General features: G+C 47.3%; 1 protein-coding gene across 5 annotated transcripts in view, besides 1 other annotated feature; it reads left to right on the top strand.

Moving 5' to 3' along the window:
• Positions 4037–4566: a silencer, noted in NCBI's record as "silent region_16405". NCBI's record gives its function as "represses an Ori minimal core promoter by ATAC-STARR-seq in GM12878 lymphoblastoid cells {active_cell/tissue: GM12878}" and the evidence as "EXISTENCE:reporter gene assay evidence [ECO:0000049][PMID:35858748]".
• The window catches only part of SIL1 (SIL1 nucleotide exchange factor), a 251645-nt gene continuing 246514 nt past the window's right edge, over positions 4242–9372 (top strand). For 4 of the 5 annotated variants that reach the window (NM_001037633.2, XM_011543570.3, XM_047417498.1 and 1 more), the window contains exons 1-2: positions 4242–4341; positions 6082–6169. The gene's annotated coding sequence lies outside the window, so the exon portion shown is untranslated. The remainder of the gene's footprint in view (positions 4342–6081; positions 6170–9372) is intronic. The other variant, NM_022464.5, reaches the window with a different exon arrangement.

Raw genomic sequence — 9372 nt, 5'->3', positions numbered from 1 at the left:
AGTGGTGCAATCTTAGCTCACTGAAACCACCTCCCAGGCTCAAGTGATCCTCCCACTTCAGCCTCCCAAGTAGCTGGGACCACAGGCATGTGCCACCATGCCCAGCTAATTATTTTATTTTTTTATTTTATTTTTGGTAGAGATGGGTTTTGTCATGTTGCCCAGGCTGGTCTCGAACTCCTGAGCTCAAGTGATCCGCCTGCCTTGGCTCCCAAAGTGCTAGGATTATAGGCGTGAGCCACTGCACCTAGCCCGTTAATATTTCTGTTAAATGGTGCTTGCCAGGCTGTTTTGATCTGTTTACATTTCTGTGTCTCTCATTTGACCCTGAGCTCTTCGAGGGTAAGAACCAGTAGGACTGTTTCACAGTTGTACCCCCACAGCCAATGGCTGGCATGTAGCTTGGTGCTCATGTTCAAGTGAATAAAATGTCTGCAGTCCAGAAGGGACTCCTGGCAGCAGGATCTGAGTTGTGTGGTGAAAGCTGGGTGGGCAAAGAGGAAGGGGCCGAGGGGAGGAGGCAGATCAATACAGTGGTGAGACAAAGTGAGGGCTCCTGCTCCCCACTCAACATTTGAGGCCCATCCAGAGAGAGCAGGGAGCCAACTCCTGAAGCCAGGAATACTTTCACACAACAGGGTGTGAGGCTTGTGGGAGATTAATTGAGAAAGGCTGATCAGAGGAGAAATGATCTACTCAACATATTCTGCTTGTTGAGGAAGGCCAAATTGATTATAAATCTCCGCCTAGCCAGGGCTCTGGGGGTAGGTGCTGTGGTTTCCTTTGATTTGATTGATGGTGGCCGGGTTGAAGGTGATTCCTCAGTCTCTCTACCCTTCCAAGCCTTCCTTTGCTCTTCTGGGGAGTGGAAGAGGGATTCTAGAAACTCCCCAACAGAACTGCAAGAGAGAGGTGGTTTTTAGCCTGTTGTTTACTTATTTAAAAGGATTTTTTTTTTTTTTGAGATAGAGTCTTGCTCTGTCGCCCAGGTTGGAGTGTAGTGGCGTGATCTTGGCTCACTACAACATCCACCTCCCAGGTTCAAGCAATTCTCCCTGCCTCAGGCTCCTGAGTAGCTGGGATTACAGGCGCCCACCACCATGGTTTGCTAATTTTTGTATTTTTTAGTAGAGACGGGGTTTTGCCATGTTGACCAGGCTGGTCTTCAACTCCTGACCTCAGGTGATCCGCCTGCCTCAGCGTCCCAAAGTGCTGAGATTACAGGCGTGAGCCACTGCGCCCAGCCTAAAAGGAAATTTTAAACTTACTTTTGCTCAATTCCAAGACTTATATAAGGAAACAAAGAGAGGAGACTACCAAAATTCCAGCACCCACTGTGATCACTGGACTTGCACCCAAACTTCTCACCTTTACAGTGGGCCTCCTTGCTTAAGGCCGTGTAAGTAGAGGCTGTCTGCTTAGGTTCAACCTTGCACACTGGCTTCAGCAACTCAAGAGGCTTGATTTCAGAGCAAGTTCAGAGCAAGTTCCTCTGAGAAGGTAGTTCTGTCAGGGTATGTCTTTGTCTGTTGGGACTACTATAACAAACACCTTAGGCTGGGTAATTTACAAACAGAAATTTACTGCTCACTGTTCTACAGACCAGGAAATCCAAGATCAAGGTGCCAACAGATTTAGGGGCTGGTGAGTGCTTGCTCTCTATTTCAAAGATGGTGCCTTGCTGCCTTGCTTCACATGGTGGAAGGGGAGATCACTGTGTCCTTCCACGGCAGAAGGGGCAAGGCAGCTCCCTTCAACCTGACCATTTTTATTTTATTTTATTTTTTTGAGATGGAGTCTTGCTCTGTCGCCAGGCTGGAGTGCAGTGGTGCGATATTGGCTCACTGCAACCTCCACCTCCCAGGTTCAAGCGATTGTCCTGCCTCAGCCTCCTGAGTAGCTGGGACTACAGGTGCACACCACCAAACCCAGCTAATTTTTGTATTTTTAGTAGAGATGGGGTTTCACCATGTTGGCTAGGATGGTCTCAATCTCTTGACCTTGTGATCCGCCTGCCTCGGCCTACCAAAGTGCTGGGATTACAGGCGGAAGCCACCATGCCTGGCCCAACCTGCCCACCTTTTAATACTATCACATTGGATATGAGGTTCCAATGTATGAATTTAGGGGAGACACCAACATTCAGACCATGGCAGAGCTTTTCAAGGTTTGGAGACCAGGCCTGGGGTGGCAGTGGGAGACAGACTATCCCTTTCCTACCACATACCTGAGCTGGTTAGATCCGTCCCAAGGAGAAAGGCCCCGCTTTGAGCGCTGGCAGCTGTGTTCAGCTGGACTCTTCTCTTGGCCCAAGCATTCATTTATTCATGCTATTATAAGATTTGAGCTTATTCTATTTTTAAGGCTCTTACTCTTGTAGCACTTTATTAACATCTTTTTTATAACTCGTGCCAGTCTTATTATAATTTATATGTTCATTCTCTAATTTATCACTCATGAAATATTTGTTGAATATTTATTATCTGTACTTATGGTACTAGGCAGTGACATAAGCTAGAATTATTCTTAGGCCCAGTTCTTCTCACTGGTCTCCTGGGTGTTCCAGGGGAAAAGTGAGCTGTTCTCTTTCCAAATCAGGCCCTAGGTGTTTTATCTAGACCTTTCTCATAAACTGGCACTATTCACTGAACTACTGCCCAGGGGCTTGTTCTCCCTTCCCATACTAGTAACCAAGGTTTGCTCAGTGGCTATGAAGTCAGTTTCCCATCTGCTTGAAGTAAACATAATCAAGAAGGTAAATTGTCTGCTAGAAGCTCATAGAGTACATGGAAAAGGGAAGGGAAGTCCAGAAATAGGTTGTTTGCTATTGGGAAATACTTGCCATTTGGGGAGGTAACTGTCTGGATTACTGTTTTCTCCACTCATGAATGACCAGGAATCACTATGTGGGGGATCTGAGGGCAGGAGGGGGCAGTCATTTTTATTCATCAGGTTAAGCATGTCTAGGCAAGGGGAAGGTCTAAAAGTGGAATAGTGGAAAGAGAACAGGACATTGGAGACACTTAAATCTAGCTTTAACTCCCAGTTCTACCACTTCCTGACTGTATGACTTTGTATAACTCCTTTAGCCTCTTTGAGCGTCAGCTTCTCCATTTATAAAAAGGGGATGACCATTCTGCTCAGAGGACGTTATAAGTAAATAAAATATATATGCAGCACCTGGTACAGAAAGCATGATATTCACTGGTACAGCAGAATTACAACTGCGTTGACACCAGCCTGGGCAACATAGCGAGACCCTGTCTGTAAAAAAAAAAAAAAAAAAAAAATTAGCCTGGCAACGGTGGCACGCGCCTGTGGTCCCAGCTACTGGATGGAGGCTGAGGGGGAGGATCCCTTGAGCCTGGGAGGTCAAGGCTGTGATAAGCCAAGATCCTGCCACTGCACTCCAGCCTGGGGGACACAGATTCTGTCTTAAAAAAAAATCAGAATCGCAAGTGACCTTTATTTTATTTTATTAGATTTTGAGACAGAGTTTCACTCTGTCACCCAGGCTGGAGTGTAGTGGCACGATTTTAGCTCACTGCAACCTCTGCCTGGTGGGTTCAAGCGATTCTCCTGCCTCAGCCTCCCAAGTAGCTGGGATTACAGGCGCTCGCCACCACGCCTGGCTAATTTTTGTATATTTAGTAGAGACGGGGGTTTCACCATGTTGGTCAGGCTGGTCTTGAACTCCTGGCCTCAAGTGATCTGCCTGCCTGGGCCTCCCAAAGTGCTGGGATTACAGGTGTGAGCCACCGCGCCCGGCCACCTGATGCTATTTTTAAAATAACTGGTCCTTGTAAAAAATCTACACAAGTATATAAAGTGAGTGGCTTAAAGGTGTCCTATTTTGCATGAATTTGCGAGAAATTTTATTGCTGGAGACTCTCGGCTTCTGTCCCAAACTGAGTCACAAGAACTTGATTTATTTTTACTCCGCACCCCTCTGATTGCTTTCTGAGGGTCCTTCCGCTAGAAAGAAATTACATTGTTGGAAAATCAGACAGGAAACTTCGCAGTTCCAGCCTGGAAGCAAAAGCAGGCGTGAAGCTATCTCTTCAGCCCTCCCTCCCCCCAAGGGGAGGGGCACGGGGGCAGCTCGTGCAAGAGTCTGCAGAGGGCGGGGCTAGGGGCGGGGCTCCCACCTCGGTGCGGGGCGGGGGGCGCCGCGCGCTGGTCTGGCGGCCCGCGATTGGGCGAGGCCGCGAGCGGCGTGACAGCTGCCAGCTCACCGGCTCAGACGGTCGCCGCCGCGTTTGCGCAGGGGGAGCTGGTCGCCGCCGCGGCCGCCTGGAATTGTGGGAGTTGTGTCTGCCACTCGGCTGCCGGAGGCCGAAGGTAGGGGCGGTGAGGGCCGCCCGGCCCTGGAGCTGGGCGGGGGGCTCAGGGCGCTTCCTGGGCCTCCTCCTGCCGGCGGCCTCGGCGCCTTCCCAGCAGTGTTCTGGGGACCCACACATCCTCACTAGTGTCTCCAAAGCGGGACGTCCAAGTGGGCCCGGGGCTCCCTGCCGAAGGCCTACCTTTCTTATCTTTCCCACTCAGAATGTCTCCATTCACCTCTTTATTGGCAGGAGATGGGGCCGTGGAAATTTGAGATTGGCTTTGGCTCCGCACCTGTTTTTAGTGCCCTTGCCTGTTTCATTCTCCCAGCCTAAGTTTCCGTATCTGTCCGAAGAAGGGGTGGTTTGGTGTTGATCTCCGAGACCCGTGTGTCTCTTCCCATGTGGAATTATTGTCACTCTCTTATTGCTTGTTTTTCTTTGTCCTGGAAAATTTGCCTTTAGAGGTTACAGACTGGTTAGTGTTATCTCTCGGATCGTCTAGGGGCTTTGTGCATAAGCCTTGGGCTCCATTCCCTGGGATTTCCGATAAGATGGTGCGTGGGCAGCTGTACCCCAGGGGGTTCTCATTCAGGTGGTCCCGGAATCCTGGCTTTGAAAATCCCTGCTTCAGAAGTCAGGAGAGAATGACTTGACATATGAGCCCCTGGAATGGGGCTCTGAGTGGGAAAAGCCAGGAATCAGGAAATGCTAACACGTGTGAGGCTGGGGCTTTCTTTGCACCGGAGGAATTAGAATGCCATTTGATGTCTTTTAAAAATATTTGACTACCTATATATGTAAGATCAGTTTTCTAATATTCTTAAATGCCTGGCTTCGTTTAAAGTTCAGTTGGCTTTCCCACCTCAATAAACCTAAATAAAAACATGATCTGAGAGATGGGGCGGGGGTTAAGTTAACCCAAACTAAGTAGACAGGAGGAGAATGAAACTTACATATTTGCTAAGAGAAGAAAGTGATGTGTTTATAAACAGTTTTTTTTTTTTTTTTTTTTTTTTGAGGCGGAGTTTCGCTCTTGTTTCTCAGGCTGGAGTGCAATGGTGCCATCTCGACTCACAGCAACCTCCGCCTCCCAGGTTCAAGCGATTCTCCTGCCTCACCTTCCCGATTAGCAGGGATTACAGGCATGCGCCATCGTGCCCGGCTAATTTTCTATTTTTAATAGAGACAGGGTTTCTCCATGTTGATCAGGCTGGTCTCGAACTCCTGACCTCAGGTGATCTGTCTACCTCGGCCTCCCAAAGTGCTGGGATTACAGGCATGAGCCACCTCGCCTGGCATATAAACAGGTTTTTTTTTGACATTGTGAAAGATATTTTGTTGTGTGTGTGTGTCTTTTCTGCTCTCACCCCACCCAAGTTTTTTTCTTTTCTGATAAAAGTATAGCCAGATTTGGGGATTGGGTAGGATTTTGATGGGAGCCAGAGTGTAACGATATTGGGATTGATATTTGTATAACATGGGTCAGAACTTGGTCTGTGGTTTTGAGAACATGGCTCTCGGGTTTTTAAGATGGTGTTACCACACCACATTTATTTCCCCTTTCTTTCATTTGTTTAGTGAATTTAATCTGCTCATGAATACATGTGCTGTTTTAATGAAATTGGCAATAGAAGAGACGTTCTGCTCCCATTTTACAGGTGATGGAAATGTTAGTAGGGATGCGGCAGTCCAGGAATGAAAAGTTGCCTAGTACTTTGATTCCCACTTACTTCCCCTTCCCTGCTGTTTTCTGAAGGCCAGCTATTACTTCTCTACTGAGGCCAACTGTGAGCCCTGGTGTGTTTCATTGGCAGGAGAAGAGGCTAATTAAGTGAAACTGAAAGGTAACAAAATGGATTTTAAAATAACTGACATGTGGGAACTTGATCCACCAATGAATGTTCTCCTTTAGAGTGATGTGTGCAGGTGTAGGTGGTGGGAGTTGAGGATGGCGTGCCTAAGTGATTTGGCTGTTGTCCAAGGCAGTTTTGAAAATCCACCTCTGGAATTGTTTTCAGAGACCTTTTTGAACCATGCGAGAGATCAGTTTCTTTAATATATTAAACCATACTGTATTATTATTATTATTATTTTTCAGATGGGGTCTCACACTGTGGTTCAGGCCGGAGTGCAGTGGCATAATCATAGCTCACTGCAACCTTGAACTCCTGGGCTTAAGTAATACTCTCACTAAAGCCTCCTGAGTAGTTGGGACTACAGGGGCGCACCACCAGGCCCAGCTAATTTTGTAATTTTAATTTTTGTAGAGACAGGGTCTCGCTGTGTTGCCCAGGCTGTTTTTGAATTCCTGGCCTCAAGCGATTCTTCTGTCTTGGCCTCCTAAAATGTTGAGATTACAGGCGTGAGCCACTGCACACAGCCTATATATATTTAACCCCGAATGGCATGGGTAAGCAACCTTGTCACCTGCCTTGTCTTCAGATGAGTTAACAGTTCTTTTGAAGTGGAAATAACAGATTTTTGGAGGGTGGTGAACATGAGTTTTAATTCTGAGTCTACCACTTATTAGCCACATAACCTTGGATAAGTTACTTCACCTCTGGGGCTCAATGTACCACTACATAACAGTGGGAATAGGGCCGGGCATGGTGGCTCACGCCTGTAATCCCAGCACTTTGGGAGGCCAAGGTGGGCGGATCACGAGGTCAGGAGATCGAGACCATCCTGGCTAACACGGTGAAACCCCGTCTCTACTAAAAATACAAAAAATTACCCGGGCGAGGTGGTGGGTGCCTGTAGTCCCAGCTACTCAGGAGGCTGAGGCAGGAGAATGGCGTGAACCTGGGAAGCGGAGCTTGCAGTGAGCGGAGATCACGCCATTCACTCCAGCCTGGGCGACAGAGCGAGACTCCGTCTCAAAACAAAACAAAACAAAACAAAAAAAACTGGGAATAATATTTACTTTGAAGGGTGGTTAAATGACGTATTACACATGAAAGCTCTTGGGACATAGGAATGCAATAAATGTTTTCACCCTCAAAGAATGAAGATTTGCCGTTAATGAGAATATTCAAAAGAACATGAGAGTCTCTGGCCGGGTGCGGTGGCTCACACCTGTAATCCCAGCACTTTGGGAGGCTGAGGTGGGTGGATCACCTGAGGTCGGGAGTTCAAGACCAGCCTGACCAACATGGAGAAACCCCGTCTCTACTAAAAATGCAAAATTAGCCGGGCGTGGTGGCGCATGCCTGTAATCCCAGCTACTCGGGAGGCTGAGGCAGGAGAATCACTTGAACTCGGGAGGCGGAGGTTGCAATGAGCCGAGATCATTGTGCCATTGCACTCCAGCCTGGGTGATAGAGCGAGAGATTCTGTCTCAAAAAAAAAAAAAAAGGCTCTGAAAGGAAGTTGTACCTTTTTCGAAATAGGTGGATTCTCTTTTTCACATACTTGTGGATTCATACTCTGACCTGCTCAGCCTCCCCCTGTCTTTCTTCATTCATTTTCTGTCCTTTCCTAAGTGAAGTTTTGCTGCAGAGGCTGTCTGCCAGTCTCTTGTAGTAAGCCTCTTTTCAGGAGAGCTAATCTGAACTCTCTTACAATGCTAGTCCCTTAGTCGCTATTCCTAGGGATTTTTTTCTGGGGGCTCCAGATGGTGCTTGGATCACGCTCTGTAGCACAGCCATCTCTAACTCCTGGATTTGGTGTCAATTTGGAGACCCATCCTGTGGAGCTAATCTTCTCTCTTTCTGAGCAAGGATGAATACTTTATCCTTTTCTGAGTCGGCCTTAAACTGCAAACCTTAGTCTTCTACAGCAGAGAGTCTTGTATTTTAATTATACGTAGACTAAAGACGGAATAGCATGCCCTTTTCTTTTCTTCCTTTACTTTCACCAAGGATTTCACTGCTGAGTAGGGGAGTAGGAGAATAGCCTGTTGCCATTCAGAGTGAGGCCTTGGGTAACCCCTGATTCCTAGCATAAGCAATAACTGAGTTCATCTTTGGGACAAAAACCTTGTAAAAGATTCGGGCTGCTCAGACACATGTGGAGAACCTCAAGCTAGGAATTTTCCTAGCTTGTGAGGAGTTTACACCTGGCATTCTTACTTTTGCAAATTTGTACCCAGAATCCAGTAGCAACAAAACTATATTCAGCCCAGACTTGTAGTTCCTTCAGGTTCCACCAGGCAGCTGTAAGACATGGCTGTGATTATGCTGGCTGGCCATGTTTGCCTTCATCCTCCTAATACTGCCCTTGGCTTTGGTATTGAGAAGGAAGTGGCATAATCAATTCATGAGTAACATTCTCTGCCAAAGTGGAAATCAGGGGCAGAGAGTTGTGAGCATAGGACTAGACAAATGGAAAGAGCCAGCCTTGCCTCAGGAATGCTGCTAAAGTGCTGTGAATCCGTGACAACCACTGTGTTTCTTGGTGTCACCTCATTTGTGAAATGGGAATGCCTTCATTGATCTCTCTCTTGAGAAGAGTGGACCACCATGCCAGTTTTCCCAGGACAGAGGGATATCCGTATGTGGGACTTTTAGTGCCAAAAGCAGGAAAGTCCGGGGCAAACCAGGACAAGTTAGTTACCCTACCCATGACCATTATACAAGTTAATGAACACTGTGCCCTTAGGGTTCATCTAAGACTCAACCCTTTGGGTTCATCTAATTATTTTTCAACCTTTTGTTCATTATCATATTTTGAGACTTTTTTTCCCTTAATTGTCTACTCCCCAGTGGAATGTTTTTTTGAGAGGGAGTCTCACTCTGTCGCCCAGGCTGGAGTGCAGTGGTGTGATCTCTGCTCACTGTGGCCTCTGCCTCCTGGGTTCAAGTGATTCTTGTGCTTCAGCCTCCTGAGTAACTGGGATTATAGGCGCCCACCACCATGCCCAACTAATTTTTGTGTTATTTAGTAGTAGTTTTTGTGTTTTGCCATGTTGGCCAGGCTGGTCTTGAACTCCTGGCCTTAAGTGATCTGCCCACCTCAGTCTCCCAAAGTGCTGGGATTACAGGCATGAGCCATCGTGCCCAGCTACCCCCAATGGAATTTTAATACCACAGATGTACTGTGTATCTGT

The sequence above is a fragment of the Homo sapiens genome, chromosome 5, assembly GCF_000001405.40.
Source record: "Homo sapiens chromosome 5, GRCh38.p14 Primary Assembly".
Lineage (NCBI taxonomy): Eukaryota > Metazoa > Chordata > Mammalia > Primates > Hominidae > Homo > Homo sapiens.
This window is presented reverse-complemented; position numbering and strand designations above follow the sequence as displayed.